Source organism: Homo sapiens, chromosome 8, assembly GCF_000001405.40.
Source record: "Homo sapiens chromosome 8, GRCh38.p14 Primary Assembly".
In the NCBI taxonomy this organism is placed as follows: domain Eukaryota; kingdom Metazoa; phylum Chordata; class Mammalia; order Primates; family Hominidae; genus Homo; species Homo sapiens.
This window is the reverse complement of record NC_000008.11, coordinates 100,443,468-100,466,476: the sequence shown is the minus strand read 5'-3', so window position 1 is coordinate 100,466,476 and position 23,009 is coordinate 100,443,468. Positions and strand designations below refer to the sequence as shown.

The 23,009-nt window shown below is 43.2% G+C and overlaps 1 long non-coding RNA gene across 1 annotated transcript in view, besides 6 other annotated features; it reads right to left on the bottom strand.

Moving 5' to 3' along the window:
- Nucleotides 366-952: an enhancer, noted in NCBI's record as "OCT4-NANOG hESC enhancer chr8:101477753-101478339 (GRCh37/hg19 assembly coordinates)". NCBI's record gives its function as "activates a minimal SCP1, AML or CMV promoter by ChIP-STARR-seq in naive and primed H9 embryonic stem cells {active_cell/tissue: H9 hESC(naive and primed)}" and the evidence as "EXISTENCE:reporter gene assay evidence [ECO:0000049][PMID:30033119]".
- Nucleotides 5,844-6,344: an enhancer, noted in NCBI's record as "H3K4me1 hESC enhancer chr8:101472361-101472861 (GRCh37/hg19 assembly coordinates)". NCBI's record gives its function as "activates a minimal SCP1, AML or CMV promoter by ChIP-STARR-seq in primed H9 embryonic stem cells {active_cell/tissue: H9 hESC(primed)}" and the evidence as "EXISTENCE:reporter gene assay evidence [ECO:0000049][PMID:30033119]".
- Nucleotides 6,345-6,845: an enhancer, noted in NCBI's record as "H3K4me1 hESC enhancer chr8:101471860-101472360 (GRCh37/hg19 assembly coordinates)". NCBI's record gives its function as "activates a minimal SCP1, AML or CMV promoter by ChIP-STARR-seq in naive H9 embryonic stem cells {active_cell/tissue: H9 hESC(naive)}" and the evidence as "EXISTENCE:reporter gene assay evidence [ECO:0000049][PMID:30033119]".
- Nucleotides 7,729-8,406: an enhancer, noted in NCBI's record as "H3K27ac-H3K4me1 hESC enhancer chr8:101470299-101470976 (GRCh37/hg19 assembly coordinates)". NCBI's record gives its function as "activates a minimal SCP1, AML or CMV promoter by ChIP-STARR-seq in primed H9 embryonic stem cells {active_cell/tissue: H9 hESC(primed)}" and the evidence as "EXISTENCE:reporter gene assay evidence [ECO:0000049][PMID:30033119]".
- LOC105375670 (uncharacterized) overlaps nt 8,576-23,009 on the bottom strand; it is a 26,841-nt gene continuing 12,407 nt past the window's right edge. Inside the window, exons 2-4 of the long non-coding RNA XR_928452.4 lie at nt 20,109-20,169; nt 14,177-14,486; nt 8,576-10,300 (exon numbers count right to left, since the gene is read on the bottom strand). This is a non-coding gene — a long non-coding RNA (uncharacterized LOC105375670). The remainder of the gene's footprint in view (nt 10,301-14,176; nt 14,487-20,108; nt 20,170-23,009) is intronic.
- Nucleotides 21,520-21,579: an enhancer, noted in NCBI's record as "active region_27702". NCBI's record gives its function as "activates an Ori minimal core promoter by ATAC-STARR-seq in GM12878 lymphoblastoid cells {active_cell/tissue: GM12878}" and the evidence as "EXISTENCE:reporter gene assay evidence [ECO:0000049][PMID:35858748]".
- Nucleotides 22,575-23,009: part of an enhancer, noted in NCBI's record as "NANOG-H3K27ac hESC enhancer chr8:101455271-101456130 (GRCh37/hg19 assembly coordinates)", that runs on past the window's edge. NCBI's record gives its function as "activates a minimal SCP1, AML or CMV promoter by ChIP-STARR-seq in naive H9 embryonic stem cells {active_cell/tissue: H9 hESC(naive)}" and the evidence as "EXISTENCE:reporter gene assay evidence [ECO:0000049][PMID:30033119]".

Here is a 23,009-nt window from a genome sequence, read left to right as displayed (position 1 = left end):
CCCATCCCCATCAGCCTCCCAAAGTGCTGGGATTACAGGCTGGGCACCTTTCCTTTTAAGAGCTCACTTATTCCTTGCCTCACACAGGAGAGAGGAGCTATTCCAGAATCATCTCTCCAGCTTCCTCTGAAGTGACAGAGGCTTTGGACTCTGGGTGACACACGTCTGGGAACAGAGCTGCCCCCTCATAAGGGCTCAAGATGTCACTGTCCAGACCAGCAGCACTGGTGGGCTCTGAGCCATGAGCACTGCCTTTCCTGTGTTGTGCAGCCCTGAGCCAGGTTGTGAAGTTCCCTTTCAGAGCCCAAAGTCTCCCAATGACTCTCCACATCCGTTTTCTCCTAAGCTGCTCTCTGGAAAAGGACCACAGTCAAGTGTGAGGGGTCATTCATTCTTCTCTAGTTACGTTAGAATCCTAGCAGCACTTTCAGGTACCCCAGAGATAGTGTCCTGTGACCCACAGGCTGAGGCTCCAAGTGTGAGAATGCTGCCCACGGTTACCCAGGAGCCAATAGCAGAATTGGCACTAGCATCCAGTTCTCTACTCTCCCACTATAGCACCTCTTGTTCAAGGATATTTGCATTGTAATAGAGGATGAAGACTTAAGCCAAAGGACCGAGTCTCCTGTTGTGAAACATCAGTCACCTTTGAGCTCTCATGCTAAGGATTGCTGAGGATTAGCTCAGCCTTTTCCAGGAAGCCACCGGCAGGTCACGATAGAGTGAACAGAAATGCAGCTCTGTGACACCAGCACCAAATGGACCCCTGATGCCCTCCATTCAGAGGCAATTCAGACCATCAGCCTAGAGGAAGGGAGCCCATTTTCCAGGCCATCCCAGCCCACGGCTGTGAAGTCTCAGCACCCCAGACCCCAGTGAACATGTTTCTCTTTCACTACTAACACCCACGGAAATGCTAGCCCCTTGGGCATGCTGGCCAAGTTCAGCTTCTGTTACCATCTCAGTTAGCAAAGCATGTGTTAGAGGAGAAGCCACAGGATTTCAAGTGCCCTCCTCTCTCAAATAAAGGAGTTGTGCTATATGACCTTTAAAGTCCTTCTGGGCCCAAATCCATAAGAATCCCAGTGGAGGAGGACTTATCATGGAAGAGCCACTTGCAAACAGGTCCTGGAGAAAGGTTCAGTTAGGGCTTCAAAGCCTGTAAACTGTGAACTTATCTGCATTCTAACCAGAATCTGAAATGGGGCGACAGTCACGGCTCTGGTGCCAATAGCCAAGACGTTCTGATGGCAGCGCTGGTTTACTCATAGCATTAGGAGGTGAATGCCCGAGACTCTATGGGGTCAGAGATGTCTGTCTCATGCTGTCTGTGCTGGCCTTTGCCTGTTCAATATTCAGAAAGCTAGAAGCAAGGTTGGGGCTGCTGCCTCCTCTGGGAATGTGCCAGCCTTTTTCACTGCTCTGCCACACCTGTTGCCCCCGATGGAACCCCTCAATCCTGTTACTCAGCTGAACAAAGGCTGCTGTGTTCATTTAATTTCTCAAATAAGGTTTATCATCTGCTTATAGGATGGATGAATGTCAATCTATGCAAAAAAGCGTTATAACCCTATTGAAGCTGTGGCTTCACAGTCCAGTCTCAGAATAAGACCATGATACATGAAAGACAGTCTAGCCACCAAAAAGCAATTAGAAATCACATAAGGCCTTTATTTGTACTTCTCGGCCATCCTAAAGAAGATGGATGTCAGGCAATACAGTTCTCAGCCCTCCTTGTCTCTTCCTTCTGCTTCCTTCTTAACCCACAAATGCCCTAGCTTCTCTTGCCTCTGAAATCTTGGGGAAACCCTCTCTAATACTAGTCTGGGTGCTTCTTATCCTTTTACCCACTTGGCTTTCTGCATTACCAAAGCTCCCAAGAGCTGAGCTGGAAACACAGAACCCTGAGGGGAGGCAGGGAGGGCAGCGCTGACCCATCAGGACAGCTGTTCCTGAGCAGGACCAGATATCTACCAAAGCAGGTAAGCGTTCATCCAGCACACACTAGGGGCCACTTCCTTGGAATCCACCCTACTTTCTAATTCTGAAAAAAAATACTTACACATTTCAAATTTGTTGTGGCACCTCAGAATAGAAGGTCGGTGGTTACCATGGTACAGAGCTAGAAGAAACACCAGTACCCATGAAAGAAAACTGTTGTGCATTACTGGTGGGAATTACTGACATGAATAGAAGAAAGGAGGAGAAAGAAGAGTGGCAATGATGCTGATTGGTTGCAGTCAATCTGCATATCTATTATGCTGAAGCTGGCTCAGTAGGTAACAGCCATCTAACAATACTAATATTTACTATGTTGATTATGTGCCAGGTACTTTACACTGTTCTGTTTATTCAGCATGACAACTCTGCAAGGTACTCTCCCTCTGTTAGAGAGAGAATTTAAAGCTCAGAGAAGTTAAGCCATTTGCTCAAGGCCTCACATGTTTGTAAGTGGTGGGGTCAGGATTTGAACCTAAGCAATCTGATCAGAAACTACGCTTGTAACTTCTGCCCATGCTCTACTGCCTCCTCACAAAGCGAGGTTCCATTCGGGAGGGTGGAGAGAGAGGTATACAGAGACTCAAACAAGACCACAGGGCACGTGGGCAGCACTGGTGTTCTCTGCACAAAGAAAGATAGGAGCAGGGGAAAATCCCACTATCACAGGATGCGCTGCTTAGGAAATGCTGCATGGGCATTATCTTAGTCAACACAGCGAACCGCTGCAATGAAAAACCCACAGTATTAACAGCTGAACACAAAAGTGTATTTCGGGCTCACACAAACTCTAATCAGACATTCCTGGTCAGGCAGCAGTCCTGGGCTCTTCCTCCACCCAGCTACTCAGGGATCCAGGCCTCTGTCCTTTAGTGATACAAGCTGGGGAAGAGAGTGAGGAAAGCCACACTGGATACTTAACCACCTCAGCCAGAAAGTGACACATCTCTCAGGCTCTTATTTCACTGGCCAGAGTGAAGGACATGGGGTGGGTTGAGAGGCTGGGAAATGGAGTCCCTGGTTAGTCACCTGCTTCTCAACAGCAAGTTCATACTATACAGATCAAGGAGTCAAGGAGATCATGACTTTTCAGGGGTCAACTAGCCATTTCTACCACACTTGAGAGAAAGAGGGGAGGGTGATATGATGATCTGGCACAGGTTAGTAAATGGCATATGAATTTCAGCATTATATGGGCTGTGTTGGAAGTGGGACAACCCAGGGATATAGGCTGGGTGCTTCTCTTAAGGAGTGACTCCAGGAGGTCAAGCTCATTCCCCAGGCATCTGTGGCCTGCTGAATCTTGGCCTAGGCACACCGATTGGGTCTGCCCCAGCATGGAGTCCAATGTCACTGAATCTGACCCTAAAGGCAGCCTTGCCAGAGATTTGGTTTCTGAGAGCAAGGCTACCCTTCCTGTGGGCTGAGCTAGAATCAGTTCTGTCTGGTCACATGACTTACTGAGGTTTTTAATAAGCCTTTGTCGACTGGCGACTCTGGGAGTTCAGGCAAGAAGTATTGAATCCCAGTATCTAAATTTGCAATCTACAGACATGTAGAGAAAGAATTTGAATTAATGTGGCTGTCAGAAGGGAAAGGGGCCAAAAAAAAAGGGTGGACAGATTCTGAGCAAGAAAAAACACACCAGGCTGTTCTCAGAATCACATTTCAAATTCCAAGGTTTGTGTCTTTTTTTCCCCCCAAATAGTCACTAATTATGGATTGTGTGTCTCTTGGAAGTTTGTTAATATTATTAGTTTTGGAAAGGTGTTTCCTACTTCTTTTCCATATGCAACTATTTATTTAGTCAGCTGGTTCTCATTTCTGAGTGTAGGTTCAGTGGCCCAGCTGAAGGATAATGGGCTGAAACATCTCAAACGAAACTCAAATAAATAAAGAACTTTGATTATTGTTATTCAGGAGTGGATGAACACAGTATTGAATCCATTGGAACTAACCTGGCCTCTTTAAAAAAATGCTCCTAGATGGAAATAATAATGGATTTGAAAACACTTGAGCTCCACATTTTCTGAAATGCCAGCTCTCTTTCTGCATATCTGAGGCTTTGTACTTGGAAGATGGTCTACAACTACCCTCAAAAATACCCCTCAGAGGAAAACCGTAAAATTTCCCTTGGTTTCCAGATGAGGAAGCAGATTCTTAAAAAGAAACATCTCTCCAAAGTCACGGGGCAAGCACAGAACTTGGAGACTCTGATTCCCAATTTCTGACCCCCTGGTCAATTTCTATCAAATGGCCGAAAGGACTACAGGATAGACTTAATACGGATCTAGTGGGTTGTTATGAGAACATTTAGGATAATTGTAGGAATTTCCATTTGAAATTAGTGCTCAGTGCCTTAGTTAGCATTACAAAGTCACATTAAAAAGCCTCCAAAGGGTCGCTTGAGCCCAGGAGGTTGAGGCTACAGTGAGCTGTGATCATACCACTGCACTCCAGCCCTGGCCACAGAGCAAAACCCTGTCTCCAAAACAAAACAAAACAAAAAAACCACCTCCAAAAGGGGAAAGTTTGCCTTTATTTGAAATCCTTGTGTACCTATTAGCCTCACTCCACCTGCCTGGCTCCACTCCATGCCTCCACTATGACACCTTGACACTTCCCTCATTTCAACACTGCAGCTTTCTCAGTTGCCTTCTTGATGCTCCCTTCCTGCCACTGAGGTGACCCGCTTCCTTCTCTGCACAAGAACAGCCAGTTTGAATAGGCAGGGCTCAGGCTGAGAGTGGTCTTGAGGGCCCAAACTCTTGTGTGTTCCAGTGCTCAGACGTGGGCTGTGGTGGACAGGACCAGGCTCAGCTGCTGCAATAGGTTGGTGGGACAGCGCTGAGATAGCACGGCAGGAGGTCACGACCTTGGCCACAGGGGCAGGTAGGACTCTGAACCAGAGATGGTATCAGAGGCAGTTGTGGTGTCATGGAAAAGGGTATCAGAGGCAGCTGTGGTGTCATGGAAAAGGGAACTTTGGACATGAAGTCAGAAACCCTGACTTCAAATCCTGCCTCTGACCGGTTACCAGTTGTGTGGCTTTGGATAAATTGTTAACTTCTCTGAATTCAACTTCTTCATCTATAAAGTGGAGGCTACCACAATATTAGTTAACACACACGCAGCTCTGAACATATCCCTGATGTCTCTCTGTGCATTTTACATATATTAACTCATTTAGACCTCACACCAACACTGTGGAGTGTGTACTATCATTAGGCTCACTGTACAGTTAGGGAAACAGACACAGAGAGGTTCACTAACTTGACCCAGATCTCATGGCTTGCAGTGGCTGAGCTGGGGTTTGAAGCCAGGTGGTCTGACTTCATGATCTCATAGGGTTGCTGGGAGGTAATGGTTGCTTCTAGCTCAGTGCACAGAGTCAACACTCAACAAAGATTTAGAAGTAAAAGAGGCTTGATATGGGGGGTGGACAGGGATGGAAATCAGCAGACGAAAGAGGCAGAGGAGCACATGTGGATAGGACAAGAAATGGGCTGTAGAGACAGACCAAGTGGGAGTCTGGGGTTTAAACCAAGCCCAAGGCCTCAGCTTCACTGCTGCTTCTTCCAGGAATTCTTCCCTGTCTTGTGTGACTGAGTTGGGAGCCCATCCTCCAATGTATCCCAGAGCATGTGGGCCAGGCTCCCATCTCAGCGCCTACCACACCGGACTGTCATCGCTTAAACTCGCTTTGTCTCTTCACGGTGGGCTCAGCAGTAACTTTGGCCTACTTACCTTTCTGTCTCCAGGGCCTGGCATCCAACCTGACACATAGTAGGCCTCAGCAGCTCTACTCAAATGAATGAATGAACAAATAGGCTCAAAGGGTAACTGGGCACCAATATTCCTGCCTCTAATCCACACATTTCCATTCTCACAACAGTTAAGTCCTACTGTGAAAACCAACCTGGTCTTCCTTCCCACTCCAAATGTGAATGGATCAGGGGGTGTCTTCTTGGGTCTGTGGGGCTTGTGGCTGGGATGGCAGCCGGGTGGCCAATGGCTACCAACAACTAGACTACCAATAGCTAGTCAGGGCCTGAAGGAGAACTTGTGGCAGAGCCGTGCCTACCTTCCCGCTTCTCAGCCACCTTCAGCCCAGACCCTGACAGTCCTGAAGAGTGTGGCTGGAGCAGAAGCAGCTGGGACCGGCAGGGGAAATCACACTTTCAGAGAACACCCTATCCCTCTCAGGATCCCCCAGGCCTTCCCAGGGAAACTGACTTGATGTCCAGAGAGAGGGTACCACAGAAACGCCCCTTTCAGCAAGAGTAACAATTTGAAGTAACAATTTTTCTCAAGGTCAGTCCCCAACAAGGCAGGCGCGGGGGTCACCTGCCTGGGCTCCCACGCTGCCATCCCTGAGACCTTCTCTCCTCCTTTACCAAGCTCTGCCTGTTCCTTCCACGCCTGGGGCGGCTGGGAGCAGCTCTCTCAGGGGAGTCTCCATGGGAACCTCGAGGGGGAATTCCGAGCCCCATAAACCGCCTACCGCCTGGACTTGGCTTCTCTAACAGTTGCTCAAGAACGCTGGCACACAGATTGAGAGGCTCAGCACAAAACGCCTCGGTTTTCTTCATTTTCTTTCCCCAACACCGTTGCCCCAGCCAACCCCTAGTACTGAGGAATGCGCCCAATTGTGTAAGCTGGAGACAGGCAGGCCAAGATCTGACAGGTTTTGGCACAAAGTATAAAATCAATGTATAATCACCTAACAGGCCTTAGGTCAATTTTTATGTCTTTTTTTTTTTTTTTTAACAAAGTCTTGCTCTGACGCCCAGGCTGGAGTGCAGTGGCATGATCTTGGCTCACTGCAACCTCTGCCTCCCAGGTTCAAGCGATTCTCCTGCCTCAGCCTCCCGAGTAGCTGGGATTACAGGCACCACGCCTGGCTAATTTTTGTATTTTTAGTAGAGATGGGGTTTCACCATGTTGGCCAGGCTGGTCTCGAACTCCTGGCCTCCAGTGATCCACCTGCCTCGGCCTCCCAAAGTGCTGGGATGACAGGCGTGAGCCACCGCGCCTGGCTCAATTTTTATGGTTTTAATTGGCAGCTTCTATCAGGCCAAACTACTTCTACAAAGCAAAGGCGGGCAAAGTTATAGTGGCCACCAGGACTCTGGGCATGACTTTCAGGTTTGGCCCTTCCCAGTTGGGAAAAATCCAGGCTTGGCATTTGTACTTGCAACCTGTACTTTTTGCATTTCTTTTTCTGGATGCAAGATACAGTAGGAAACAGATCATGACAGTCATTGTGCCAGAGAGATTCAGGTGGCTCCTGCTGGCAGAAATAAAAGACTTCCTGCTAATCCCTACTCTGGAAAATAAAGTGCTCAGGACGTTTCGGGCAGCCCTCAGATATCCAGCAATAAGAAAAGTTATCTGTAAATGAAATTGATGTTGTAGGATACAAGAAAAAGATGCAACCAGGGGTTGAGTAAGACTGTGCAGGCTGGGTTTGGTAAGAGCGTGGCACAGCACAATATTCTTGACGGAGGGAGGGGATCAGGCCAGGCTGTGGATGAGCTGAGTAGGCAGCTGCCTCCTTGGCGTGATCTGAGGGGTGATGAAACATCAGGACACTCAGAAGACTCGACGCCCAGCTCCAGATCTCCTCCCAAGACCTCAGCAAGTCTCTGAGCTGAGTCATGGGGATGACAGTACCTGCTCTACTTCTCGGGATTGTCATGAGGTTCAAACTAAGCGACAGAGCCTATGTGACTGTGCTGGCTGTTAAGCTATTGTTTCTCAGCACTAATCCACCTCTGCTCTGGGATGCTGGAGCTGGGACTCTGCAAACCACGCTCCCCCTGCCAGCTGCTCCTTGTTACGATTGCCAAAAGCGGGGAATGGTCACAGGGCACGTCCCAGGACAAGCAGAGGCAAGCAAGCAGGGCACCTGGGACGCAGCACGTCAGGAGGCACTGACTCTCTGTGTGGACCCTGCAGTTGCCCAACCACATGGAAATGCTAAACTCTGTCCTTTTACCATCTCCAATTTACGGACACAGACCCTGGTGTCACTTACAGAGAGCCAACCTCCCAAAACTTCGGGGATAAATGTTTTAATGACTTAGGTCTCTTTTTTCCCTTCCGTGACAATGGACAAGTTGCTTTTCATCAGCAAGAGAGCCGTCAGGGCTTCAGTATGGCTGCAGAAAGGTCCGAAGGTAGTGAGGATGGGGAAGTCCTTGTTCCCTGTCCCTAGGGTTGGTGAACCCGGGATGAATGAAAGCAGGACAAAAGGATTCAAGTGGCCTGGATTCCGGGGCTGTCAGGGTTGTCCCTGTGCCCACACCTTGCCTAGCTGGGAAAGAAAGCAGCACAAAGGGCAGATGAGCAGCCCCAAGGATAGGCTTGGAAGCAGGAAAGAGAAAGAATGCAAATTGCCAGGGAGAAGGAAAGAGTCACGTGGAGTTAGGGGAGTTATCCACCAAGAGCAATCAGCAGTTCATGTGGACATTATTATCTTCGGTCCCAATGAAATCAGGATTCCATCTGGTTTAAGGAAAATAAAATCTATACAGTTTAATGATTTTGTTCCCATAATAACACTAAGTGAACAAACAACATCTTTAGCTCTGCTTGGAGAAAAACGGAAATTGTTCTAACCGAGTGGTGTTTAAATATGAGCTCACTCTGATTTACCTCTGATGTGCTTATCCCAGGCTAGCTGCTCTAACCAGCACGGTATTGACATAACAAATGCTAAATCATTACACTGTTGATTTTATGCCCTGGGGCATCTTGGTTACCACCACGGCCGCCTGATCTTTGTGTCTGTATACCATCCACAGCCTAACTCAGGCTGGCCAAATCCCACAGACGGCAGCTTAGGGCCAGAGAACAGAACATGCAGTTGATGTTATTTCCCCATGCAAGAAAATTATAGAAACAGAACAAACATGGTAACTTTCAGAAACATCCTTATCTTGCACTGTTTAACATGTAATTTAGAAATAGACTCTTCATCAGTATCAATTTTTTAGGATTGCCATAACAGAGTACCACAGAGAAGGTGGCTTCAACAACAGAAATTTGTTTTTCAGAATGCTAGAGGCTAGAAGTCTAAGACTGAGGTGGCAGCAGGGTTGGTGTCTTTTGAGGCCTCTCTCCGTGACTTGTGGATGGCTGGCCTCTCCCTGCATCTTCATGTGGTCTTTCCTCTGTGTGTATCTGCGTCCTTATCCCCTCATCTTATGAGGATACCAGTCACATGGGATTAGGTTCTACCCCTATGACTGCATTTTACTTTAATTATCTCTTTAAGGGTCCTATCTCCAAATGCAGTCACATTCTGAGGTACTGGGAAATAGGAGTTCAACATATGAATTCTGAGGGTGACACAATTCAGCCTCTCCCAAGTGTGAGTGACAAGAATAGCCAACCTTTCCCAAAGGCCTACTAAGTGTTTAAAACTGTAGTGAATGCTCAAGTTGAATTTAACCCTTAAAAATAGTCCCATATGGTGGGCATCATCATTCTTCTCATTTTACAGATTAGTGATGAAGGCTTGATGAGGTTAACTGCCTTGCCCAAGGTTACACATGATGAAGCACAGGGTGGGAAGTGAAGTGCATATAACATAAAGCGAACCCAGGCCTGTCCAACTCCAAAGGGATCCAAGTTTTAAAAAGAATTCTACAACCATTTGCCTTCCCGGTGAACTAACGAAAACAACTTCCTGTAATCCTAGCATTTTGCAAGGCTTAGGCAGGTAGATTGCCTGAGCTCAGGAGTTCAAGATCAGCCTGGGCAACACGGTGAAACCCTGTCTCTACTACAGTACAGAAAAATTAGCTGGCTATGGTGGTGCACACCTGTAATCCCAGCTACTAGGGAGGCTGAGGCAGGAGAATTGCTTGAACCTGGGAGGCAGAGGTTGCAGTCAGTGAGCTGAGATTGTGCCGCTGTACTCCAGCCCTCCAGCCAGAGCAAGACTCTGTCTCCAAAAAAAAAAAAAAAAAAAAAAAAAGAAAAGAAAGAAAAAAAACCTTTACTAACTCTTAGCACATATACATTGAAGAGAATGAATGAAATATCTTTGAAAGAGACATAATGCCTGACATTGAAATTCTGAAGGATGCATGGCATATGCTATTTCTGTGTGATAACCAGTTTCACAATTGAGAAGCATTTTTAAGACCACGCTAAAGAAAAAACAAAGCAATAAATAATTAAACTTACCTTACTGATGGTCTTGGCATTGCATTACAAAATCAATAATGATTATCCATTTTGGAGAGAACCCCAGATCTGAAGAACACACTTTGTACTGTGAAATTTGAACCTTACACAAAAACAGAAACAAAAGCTACACTGAGCAGGTAAGAAACATCAATGTTTATTTTTCTCTACTTTAAATATAAAATTATATAATTTTGTTGATAGACTGGATTATCTCAAGATTATCTGGTCTAAGTCCTCAATGTTCCTTACCTCTTTTGAGATTCCTATTCATTGTAATTTATTCAAAATAGCTTATCAGTAATCCAACTCTGTCACTTTAACATAATATCTGTGTTGCCAGTCCTTTCCACACTGCCCTTGCCACTCCAAGCACCCTAGCTAGATATGAGACTGATAATCTTAACAGGAAATAAAATGAGCAGCTATGATTTGAAACTGTTCTTGAACTGAATATTCCAACCTTTCTAGATAAACATGAACTGCTGGATTCCTCTAAAATGTTAGAAATCCCCAGCAAACATGGCTGGTGTTTGAATAACTAGTTAATGTTAGCCGTAGTTCTGCAATTAGCAACAATGAATTTGTCATTCTCATTACAAAAAGGATATGTCCAATGTCTCTTATACAGGGTTTTGTCAAAGTTACTATAAAAAGTAAGCTGGGGCAGGGCATGGTGGCTCACGACTGTAATCCCAGCACTTTGGGAGGCCAAGGAGGGTGGATTACCTAAGGTCAGGAGTTCCAGACCAGCCTGGCTAACATGGTGAAACCTCGTATCTACTACAAATACAAAAAATTAACCATGTGTGGTGGCATGTACTTATAACCCCAGCTACTCAGGAGGCTGAGGCAGGAGAATAGCTTGAACCCGGGAGGCAGAGTTTCCAGTGAGCCAAGATCGTGCCATTGCACTCCAGCCTGGGCAACAAGAGCGAAACTCTGTCTCAAAAAAACAAAACAAAACAAACAAACAAACAAAACAAAAACAAAAAAGTAAGTTGGAAAGATTGAGATTATGCCTTTAAAGAGGTAATAGAGGCCATATTTTAAGATCAATGATCTACTTTGTGTATATTCTTGTAAAGACCCAAGCTGGCATAAATTGATATTAACATGCTAACCTTTAATTTAACCATGAAAAATGTCTAAAGACTGACATAGAAAAAATACACTTAATTTTTAACCCAAGCCTTCAATCTGATCTGACCGTAAATCAACTTCCCATTGAATTCCTGAACACATAATGCACAGTCGTTAATAAAAACATTTGATAGAAAGATTAAGTGACAAAAATCAGTAGTGGCTACTTTGAATCTTTAACTGAAACAAACATAAATCAACAAATCCTCTGAGGAAAAATAGCCCCTTTATAATAAAATCAATACTGCTTTTACAAATCATAAATAATGCAAAACAGGGCCAACGTCAACAGCAATTGTTCCACAAAGATACACAGGTCCACCGTTGTACACCACAAAAATACCATCACCTGCCCATCTTCTAGTGGTAGGAAAGGAGGCATGTTGCAGTTGAGCTCTGTTTTCAGGAGTACCTGGGGGGTGTACTGCATACCCCATCATCACCCTCCAGCCTGGAGAATCTCCTCAAGCACAGTCTCATCTTCAGACTCTTTCTCCTCTACCTTAACTTCTCCCTCTACATACTGTGGTTCCCAAACACTCATTGTCTTTTCTCCCCACAACATTTGTGGTTATTTATTTTTATTTATTTATTTTTTTTGAGATGGAGTCTTGCTCTGTCGCCAGACTGGAGTGCAGTGGCACGATCTCGGCTCACTGCAACCTCCACCTCCCAGGTTCAAGCGATTCTCCTGCCTCAGCCTCCCAGGCACATGCCACCACGCCCAGCTAATTTTTGTATTTTTAGTAGAGATGGGGGTTCACCACCCAAATAGCTGGGATTATAGGCATGTGCTACCACACTGGCTAATTTTTGTATTTTTAGTAGAGATGGGGTTTTACCATGTTGGCCAGGCGGGTCTCGAACTCCTGGCCTCAAGTGATCCACCTGCCTCAGCCTCCCAAGGTGCTGGGATTACAGGCAGGAACCACTGTGCCTGGCCTCTGTCTTAGTTTTTAACAGAAAAAATTTGAAGAAAAAAGAATAAAATGATTTAAAAATATAACAAAACTAGTAGCATAGGATGTAAAGAGGAAAATATTTTTGTACAGTTGTACCATGTGTGTTTTAAGCTAAGTGTTATTATAAAAGAGAATGTTTTCTAAAAAGTTTATAAAATAAAAATTACAGTAAGCTATGTTTAATTTATTACTGAAGAGAGAAAAAAATTTAATAAATGTAGTATAGCCTACGAATACAGTGTTTATAAGGTCTGCAGTAGCGTATGGTAATGCCCTAGACCAAGCTTGTCCAACCCATGGCCCACAGGCCGCATGTGGCCAAGGACAGCTTTGAATACGGCCCAAGGTTTGAATACAGCCCAACACAAATTCATAAACTTTCTTAAAACATTACGAGATTTATGCACAGATAGTTTTCTTTCTTTCTTTCTTTTTCTTTCTTCCTTCCTTTCTTTCTTTCTTCCTTCCTTCCTTTCTTTCTTTCTCTCTCTCTCCCTTCCTTCCCTCCCTTCCTTCCTTCCTTCCCTCCCTCCCTCTCTCCTTTCCTTTCCTTCCCTTCCCTTCCCCTTCCCCTTCCTTCCTTCCTTCCTTCCTTTCTTTCTTTCTTTCTTTCTTTCTTTCTTTCTTTCTTTCTTCCTTCCTTTCTTTCTTTCTTTCTTCCTTCCTTCCTTTCTTTCTTTCTCTCTCTCTCCCTTCCTTCCCTCCCTTCCTTCCTTCCTTCCCTCCCTCCCTCTCTCCTTTCCTTTCCTTCCCTTCCCTTCCCCTTCCCCTTCCTTCCTTCCTTTCTTTCTTTCTTTCTTTCTTTCTTTCTTCTTTCTCTCTTTCTCTTTCTCCCTTCTTTCCTTCCTTCCCTCCCTCCCTCCTTTCATTCTTTCTTTCTTTCTCTCTCTTTCTTTCTTTGTCTTTCTTCTTTCTTATCAGTTATCATTAGTGTTAGTGTATTTTATGTGTGGCCCAAGACAATTCTTCTTCCAATGTGGCTCAGGGAAGCCAAAAGATTGAACACCGCTGCCCTAGGCTTTCACATTCACTCACCACTCACTGACTCACCCAGAGCAACTTCCAGTCCTGCAAGCTCCATTCATGGTAAGTGCCCTATGCAGGTGTATCATTTTTTATCTTTCATACCATATTTTTACCATACCTTTTTCATATTTAGATACACAAATACTTACCATTGTGTTACATCTGCCTACAGTATTCAGCACAGTAACACTCTGTACAGGTTTGCAGCCTAAGAGCAACACGCTATACTGTATAGCCTAGGTGCGTAGTAGGCTATGCAATCATTTAGGTTGATGTAAGTACACTCTATGATGGTTGCACAATAACAAAATCATCAAATGACACATTTCTCAGAATGTATCCATGTCAGTAAGTGACACATCTATATAATAGTCAGTCCATAAATGTTTGTTTAATAAAGGATGTTGTAAATTTGTCTTTTTGTTTGTTTTTGTATCATATCCAACTCCTTCAATCTGTTGCTTAGTAGAATGTGTCTTTATGCTTATATAGGATTTCTTTCCTTGGTAGCAACATTTTTAACGACAGAGTATCTTTTCAAACTGTGTGTGGTACCATGCATCTTTGTTGATAAAATGAGCATTGTGTACATTCAGCTACTTTGCTGAATATTAAACTGGCTAGTCATAATAAGATTCATTTACAGACTATGCTCTTAATATCATATCAAATAAAATATTAAAGGAATTGGAGAGAAAAAGATCCAATTAAACTAAAATTAGATATTCTCAATAACCTAGAGTGACCAATTCTCTGTAGTATCTGAAAAAACATACTCAACCAACAAATGCTCTTTTCAACTTTCAAAGAAGAAAGGGAGATGCTGAACAATTAATCTTGTGTCTTACCATGTGACTCAGATTTTAGAAGCGATGTGATGGAGTGAGAGTAGGACTGTCACTGGAAATCCCCCAAAGTGGGTACTTGTGGTCCAGCCCATTCTGAAACTCTGTGGAGTGGCGTAGACTGGTTGCTAGGCAACCCTGATGATGGGACCATGACTCTCTGCTTCAATAAAGCTGTGCTCCAGCGCGAGTAAACAACCCTGCTCTACACAGGCAAAGGGCTGTCAGCACAATATTTTCACTCCTCGCCGAAAACCTATCATTTCCAGCCTTGGAGGGTACACAGTGCCCTTTTGCTAAGAGGAATCGTCTCCTGAAAATAAGAAGAGACATATTTCAAAGCTAGGACACCACAGACCAGACCACATGACACTCAGGACCAAATGTTCAGAAAACAGAGTCACCATTTTGTACTTGAGCAGTTGTTTTTCTCTTGGGCTGAGTGTGGAATACTGAAAGCAGGTGTCCATGCTTTCATATGCACTTCCCACACTGCAATTCTGTTTGCTGGTGGCATTAGCTTGTTGGGTTATTTCTGTTAACCGAGGGAACTCTTTACATTGACTTGACCTAACTAGGATGTTCTGCTCAAATAACCTTGTTCTAACTTAGAGCTGCCCCCAGGACTTAAAATCCCAATCCTGTGGCATAGCCTTCTTAGGGGAAGATAGAAGTGAAGAGGGTATCATCAGAGCCATTTCACGCCTTCCTCTGCCAATATTCTAAGAGATAGATTTTATTTTATTTATTATTAGTTTTTTTTTTTTTTGAGAGTCTCCCTTTGCCACCCAGGCTGGAGTGCAGTGGTGCCATCTCAGCTCACTGCAACCTCCACCTCCTGGGTTCAAGCGATTTTCCTGCCTCAGCTTCCTGAGTAACCGGGACTACAGGCACCCACCACTATACCCACCTAATTTTTGTATTTTTAGTAGAGACGGGTTTCGCCATGTTGGCCAGGCTGGTCTAGAATCCCTGACCTCAGGTGGTCCATCCAACTGGCCTCCAAAAGTGTTGGGATTACAGGTGTGAGCCACTGCTGCACAGATAGATTTTAGCTGGAGCACTCCTTGAGACAGTGAGCTGTTAAATTGTTGTAGTTCCCTTAAGCTGTTTTTGAGTGATTCTCTAAGAAACCAGGAGAATTGACGGAAAATATGAAAATCTTTCTTCATCTTCCATCACACACACATATTCTCTACCTTTGACTCTGAACTTTTAAAAAAAAGCCTTCATGCAGCCAACTCTGTATTTTTTTAAAATAAATTTTTAAATAAAAGAAGACTAATTTTTGTTGCTCAGATTGTGTGAGGGTTCTCTGGGTGTTCTGAAGTAGGTCAGTAAACACCTGTCACAGTGTTATGTGGTGTTGTTAAAATATGTCCACAAATTCTTTGACATGCCTTCCTTCAAAAAGTAGAACGTAATTCCTTCCTTCTTGAGTGTGGCTGGATTTACTGACTCATTGCAAATGAAGAGAATGTGGCAGAAATGTGAGATTAAGTCATAAAAATGATAACTCCTGCCTGGTCACTCTCGTGTAGCTTGTTTTGGTGGAAGCCAACTGCCAGGTAGTAGGGACACATAGCAGCCCTCAGGAGAGGCCCAGGTGTTGAAGGGCTGCACCTCACACCAAGAGTTAACATCTACTTGCCGGTCCTGTGAGTGAACCCTCTCAGAAGTGAATCCTCCACCCCAGTCAAGAATTCAGATGATTGTAATCCCAGCCAACATCTTTTGTTTCATTTCACTTTTTCTTTTCTTACTGCAGCCTTAACCTCCTAGGCTCAAGCAATTCTCCAACCTCAACCTCCCAAGGAGCTGAGACTACAGGTACATGCCACCACGTCCAGCTAATTTTTTTTTAATGTTAAGGAAATTTATTTTTTATATTTATTTTTGTTATTTTATTTTATTTTAAATTCAGACAATACATACGCAGGTTTTTTACATGGATATATTATGTAATGGTGAGGTTTGGGTTTCTAGTGAACCCATCATCCAAACAGTAAACATTATACCCAATAGGTAAGTTTTTAACCCTCATGTTCCTCCCACTCTGCCCCTTTTATTAAGTCCCCAGTGTCATTATTTATATCTTTGGAAATACGTTCATGTGTTTAGCCGTTAATAAATCTATTGTTTAGCTCTCACTTATAAGTGAGAACATGAGGTATTTGATTTTCTGTTTCTGAGTTTGTTCACTTAAGATAATGACCTCCAGCTGCATCCATATTGCTGCAAAGGACATGATTGCATTCTTTTTATTTTTATGGCTGCATACCATTTCATGATGTATATATACTACATTCTCTTTATCCAATCATCAATGGATAGACATTTAGGTTGATTCCTTGACTATGTATGCTATTGTAATAATGCTGCAATAAGCATACAAGTGCAGGTGTCTTTTGGATAAAATGATTTCTTTTCCTTTGGTTAGACACCCAGTAGTGAAATTGCTGTCTCCCTACATTGCCCAGGCTGGTCTCAAGCTCCTGGGCTCAAGCAATCCTTCCATCTTGGCTTCCCAGAGTGTTGAGATTATGGGCATGAGCCACTGCATCCAGCCCCAGCCAACATCTTGACTGTAACTTCATAAGAGACCCTGAACCAAACTCACCCAATCCAACTACTCCCATACTCCTGACCCCTAAAAATTGTGAGAGATATTGTTCTAAACCACTAAGTTTTGGGATAATTCATTACACAGCAATAGATAAACATTGGCACTCTACCCTCCTGTGCCATAACCATTTGTTATGAAACTCTTATCTCCTGAACCTGAACATGGCTTTGTAACCCTTCACACATTGCATTAGGCAGCCACCACCATCAGAGATGAAACTCATTTGCCAGCACAGATCTGGGGGACCAACAGGAAAAGTTGAACACTTAAGCAAACATTTTAGAAAGTGTCCCTTTACTCTTAATTGTAAATGAAGACTAACTTTAGCAACCTTTCCATTATAATGTAGATGCCACTTACACAGTATTTACAATTGTGTACAAGTAAAAGTGTGACCTGTGGAGACTGATTCTTTTGTTTGACTCTGGTCTGTTTCCCATGGCCTTTTTAACTTACTCCACCAAATGCAAGTATCATCCACCAGGTTCAAGGATTTGATCAAAGTGGATTCATGTGTGTAATCCAGTTCCCCAGGCCACAGTAGTATACAGGTAAAAAATAAGGTCACTGTTAAAAGTATAGCTGGGGAATGATGTCAGCAAATGGCGGAGTGGGTAGCTCCAAGCTCTCATCTCCCTACAAAGACACACACACACACACACACACACACACACACACACAAAAGCAGAAATTGTCAGAACCAACTTTGTCAGAACTCTGGAAAACAGCCAAAGGTTTACAGCAACCATATGAATGCTGAATCGAGAAAAAGCAACTTGAAAATGGTAGGAAAGCTTTGTGGCACTTTTTCCTGTCCTTGCCCACCTCCTTCCCAGCATGACAGCAGTCCTGAAGAGGTAGCAGCCTGTGTTTCCAGAGAGGAACTCTGGTCCCAGTTTCCAGAAGAAGCAGAGCAGATCTCACTCACAAATTATCCCATGTGTCTGTTAATAACCTATTTGGGGACTATGTGAAAGACTGACACGGATGCTTGTATTGGTTTCACCTAACTTAGGCTGGAAAAGTGGTGCCCATCGCTCAAAAACACAGCAAGGTGAACCCACCATTCACAGAAACCTGGGGAAACAGCTTATGGTACAGATATTCAACAGACTGTCTAAGGCCCAGGAAGAAAGGCTGGGGCAAATTCTTTGTAAAATAGGACATTTAAAAGCGCCTGGGTGTATGGGGGAATCTAGAAAACCATGCACATTCTCAGGGCAAGATCCATGCACAGAAAAGACATGGGAAGACTCTGAACTCTCGCCTCTAGCTGATAAAAGCTGAAGGAGTTTGTTTTCACTCCCCAGCCCTAAAGATTGCTAACAGGAGTCCTCCAGGTTGAAATAAGAGGACACGAGGCTGTTGCCATAATGAAGCCATCATGAGGAAATAAAGATCTCTGGTCACAGTAAATTCATGGGCTAATATAAAAGCCAGTATTTTTGTATTTTAAAAATTGCTAAAGGGAGTCCTCCAGGTTGAAATAAGAGGACACTGGGCTGTTGCCATAATGAAGCCATCATGAGGAAATAAAGATCTCTGGTCACGGTAAATACATGGGCTAGTGCAAAAGCCAGTATTTTTGTATTTTTGGTCTGTAACTGCATTTTTAATTTCCTACATGATTTAGAAGACAAATGCATAAAATAATTATAAATCTATGGCATTAGAAATACTATATATAAAGAAATGTCATTTCTGACAACAATGACATACAAGGAGGGGAAGGAGCCATGTGGGAGCAGAGGTTTTACACCCTGTTGAAGGTAAATTGGTATCAACTCAAATTAGATTATTATAAATTCAGGATGTTAAACGTAATCCCCAAGGTAAACACAAAGAAAATATTTAGAGAATATAGACAAAAGGAAATGAAAAGGAAATCAAAACCTTTCACTATGCAAAAAAATCAATTAGTCACAAAAGAAGGCAATAATAGAGGGAAAATCTAATATCCTCTTATGATAAGAAAAAACTCTTAGAAAATGAGGAACAGAGGGGAACTTTCTCAATATAATAAAGGGTATTAATGAAAAAAACAACACAGATAGCATTGGACTTAATGGTGAAAGACTAAAAGCTCTCTCGCTGAGATCAGAACCAAGACAAGGATGCCTACTTTCACTGCTGCAATTCAACATTGTACTGGAAGCTCTAGCTACCAGATTGAAAAGAAATTAAAGGCATACAAATTGTAAGGAAGATGTAAAACGATCTCTATTTGTAGATGCCATGATCCTATATATAGAAAATCCCAAAGAATCCACAAGAAATCTACCAGAGCTAATAAACAAAGCCAGCAAAGTTGCAGGGCACAAGATCAACACACAAAAAAGTTAGACTCTTACCTTATACATACCATTTACAAAAATTAACTCAAAATGGATCAAAGACCTAAACTTAAAAGCTAAAACTATAAAACTTTTAGGAGAAAACGCTGGGGAAAACCTTCATGACATTAGATTTGGCAGTGGTTTTGTGGATGAGACACCAAAAACAGGCAACAAAAGAAAATATAGATAAATTGGGCTTCATCTAAATTAAGAACTTCTGTGCTGCAAAGGATGCTGTTGAGAAAATCAGAAGAGCCTACAGAGGGGAGAAAATATCCACATGTCATATATCTGATAAGAAATTAGTATACAGAATAAATAAAGAACTCCTACAATGCAACAACTGAAAAAAAAATTTTAAATGGAAAAAAGATTAAATAGACATTTTTCCAAAGAAGATACATAAATGGCCAATAAACACATGAAAAGATGCTCAATATCAGTAGTCATTAAGGAAATACAAATCAAAACCCCAACAAGATACCACTTCATATCTACAAGGATGGTTAGAATTTTTAAAAAATAGAAAATAACAAGTGTTGGCAAGAATATGGAGAAGTTGGAACCTTCATACATTGCTAGTGGGAATGTAAAATGGTGCAGCCAGTGTGAAAAACAGTTTAGTCGTTCCTCAAAAAGTTACATATAGAATTACCATATGATTCAACAACTTCATTCCTCAGTATATGCCAAAAAGAACTGAAAGGAAGGACTCAAAAAACAGATACGTGTATGCCAATATTCATTGCAGCATTATTCACATTAGCCAAAAAATAGAAACAACACCAGTGTCCATAAATGGATGAACATAATGGATATCCATAAACAAAATGTGCTGTATACATACAATGGAATATTATTCGGCTGTATAAAAGAGTGAAGTCCTAATACATGCTACAACATGGATGACCTTGAATACATTGTGCTAATGAAATAAAACACAAAAGAACAAACATTATATGATTCCACTTACATGAAGCATCCAAAATAGGTAAATTCTCAGCAGCAGAAAGTAGATTCAAGGTCACCAGGAGCTAGAGGAAGGGAGAATGGGGAGTTATTCTTTGATGGTTACAGAGATTCTGTTTGGAGTGATGAAAAAGTTTTGGAAATAGAACAGTGATGGTTGTACAACATTGTCAATGTAATTAATGCCAATGAACTGCACATTGAAAATAATGGTTAAAATGGCAAGTCTTATGTTATCAATATTTTACCACAATTTAAAAAAACAAAAGTATACATGGGATAAAGGAAGGGGATCTCTTACTTTTCCTGGGGCACTTTCTTCCTTGTCAACTCATTCCACTCTCTTTTCTTTCCTTTCTTTTCTTTTTCCTTTCCTTTCCTTTCCTTTCCTTGGGCACTTTCTTCCTTGTCAACTCACTCCACTGTCTTTTCTTTCCTTTCTTTTTCCCTCCCCGCCCCCCCTTCTTTCCTTTCCTATGATATCGGAGTCAGGCTAAAGTGCATTGTCTCAATCAATGCTCACTGCAGCCTCAAACTCCTGGGCTCAAACAATCCTCCTGCTTCAGCCAGGCCTCCACCACTATGACTGGCTAATCTTTTTTATTTTTCATACTAAGTTGCCAGGCTGGTCTCCAACTCCTGGCCTCAAACCATCTTCCTAACTCCCAAAGTGCTGGGATTATAGGCTGGCCCTTGTCAGCATTTTAAAAGATATCTTGTTAACTCAGCCATTGTTAAGGTCATTAAGGAAAACCCAATAGCGGAAAATAAGACAGGTTCACTTGTTTACCCACCAGCCAACAGAGCAGGCCCTCAGGAGAATCCACCCCTCTCGGGCTCAGGCCCCCTCAGAAGACCCCACCCCTCCCTGGCCCAGGCCCCAGGCTTTCTCTGCCTCAGGTGACCAGGAAGTTACACTCTGACTTCTCCAAAAAGATTTTTCTAAATAGATCTGACAACCCTAGAGAGATGTCCCAGGTGTGCTTTGGAAATTCCCTTGGGTACCATGTGGCTGCTGTATTTTCTCCCTACAATAAAAGCTGCCTTGCAGATTACTGCACCGAGACATCTGAGTTTCTGGTTCCCATACTCCAGACTCCAACAGACACCTCCTGGGATCAGAGAAGAGATACACCTTCTGTCCCCCGACATGTATAGTGTGTTAAAAGGTCACAAGCTGGACTGCTTAAAGTCCTTAAAGTATAGAAGAGCTTTTAAGAAATGGCTTTTCAGCTTTGTTACTCCTCCCCTAGAGCTCAGGCAGGAGTCCATGCGAAGAGCGGGTAAAGTGAGGAATTAGGGGGACAAATACAGGGCTGTGCTCAGAGGTATTAATAGCTGTACCCTTCAGCTTTTATCCACTGCCCTCCATCAGACTTGGGAACTTTAATTATCTTCCTTTAGCACAAATTCTCTCCTAGGAGGAGCCTCAGACCATCGTGCAAATACAGCCATGGAAGTCTAGCTTCTCCAGTTCCCCAGACTTGCTTAGACATGCCTGCATCCGGGGGGTGTCCTGCTCATTAATAGTTAAGGTTCGTGTTGGCTTGCTGTGTGCCAGAAATCAAAGCTTTAGATGCACTAATCTCCTTTCTTTTTTCCTTAACTTAAAAAAAAAATTTTTATTGATTTAGTGGGTACAATTGCAGTTGTGCCACATAAACATACTGTGCAGTGGTAAAGTATGGGCTTTGAGTGTACCCATCATCCCAATAGTATACATTGTACCCAATAGGTAGTATTTCATTCTTCCCCCGCCCCCACCTTCCCTCCTTTCTTTTTTTTAAATTAAAAAAATCAGATGATATTTATGATACCTATATGTTTTGGAAAATTTGTAATGTACCAAAAATTACATATAGGGTCATTAAAACTTGCCCTTAACTTTGCTGCTTATTATTTCATGTCATCCTCACCACAATCCAGTGAGGAAGGTTTAATTGCTTCTACTGTGCAGTCAAGGGAAGCTAGGCTCAAAGAGAAGCGAAGCAAAGGGCCTTGTCTGAGATCACACCTAGGAAATGGATTTGTGTGAGGAAAGCCGAGCTCCTCCCCGGTGGCCACACTGCCTCCTCAAGCTGAGGCTCCAACTACAGAAGCTGGTGCAGAGCCTCCTATATGCTCAGAGGCCTCCTTCACAATATTCTATACCCAGCCCCTGCTGCACTGATGATCTCCCCAAAGAAGGAAAGAGACCCAACTGCTGCCAGCCACAGAATCAACTTGGGCAACATGACTTCCTTCCTAATCTTAACAATGAGGGTTGAACTAGTCCAAAGACCATTAGAGATAACAGGCCTGAGGAAATACCTGGCACTAATACATTCACAGAAATGAATAAATGGATGTCACTCCCACGTCAAACATTCCATCCCTGTCCTGCCTCTTAGTATTTGAACAGCAATTATGGCTGGACCACTAATATCAGAGTCAAACTGAAATGGGAAGCCTCTCATACACAGAGTCAGACACCCTGAAAATTACAGGGAACACACCACCAGGGCTATAGTTAAGGTAGGAGTGTTAGCCCCAAGAAAAGACATTATTTTGCTTCTCTTAAATTCTACAATGGTTCTTGTTTTTGCTATTTTGATGTCTATCTTACCAAAGTCAATCTTAGGCTTTTACCAACCCTGCTATACTCAAGGGGCTTGGGAGTTCTCTGCATTACAGGCATTAAAACTTTCCCAGAAGTCCCTGAGTTATCTTTGGGATAAATTCCTGCCCCCAACACATTTCAAATCTTCTCTAGGAGGTCCTTAGTGATTGCGTGAACAGCCTGCAAAAGGAGTGCTATGTTTCTTCTGTTAGGGGGACATCCTGGCTTTGGGCATATCTGGCCAAGGACGTTATAAGTTCTCTAAATTGTGTCTTTCTTCCACAACCCTCAGAGCCAACTGCAAGC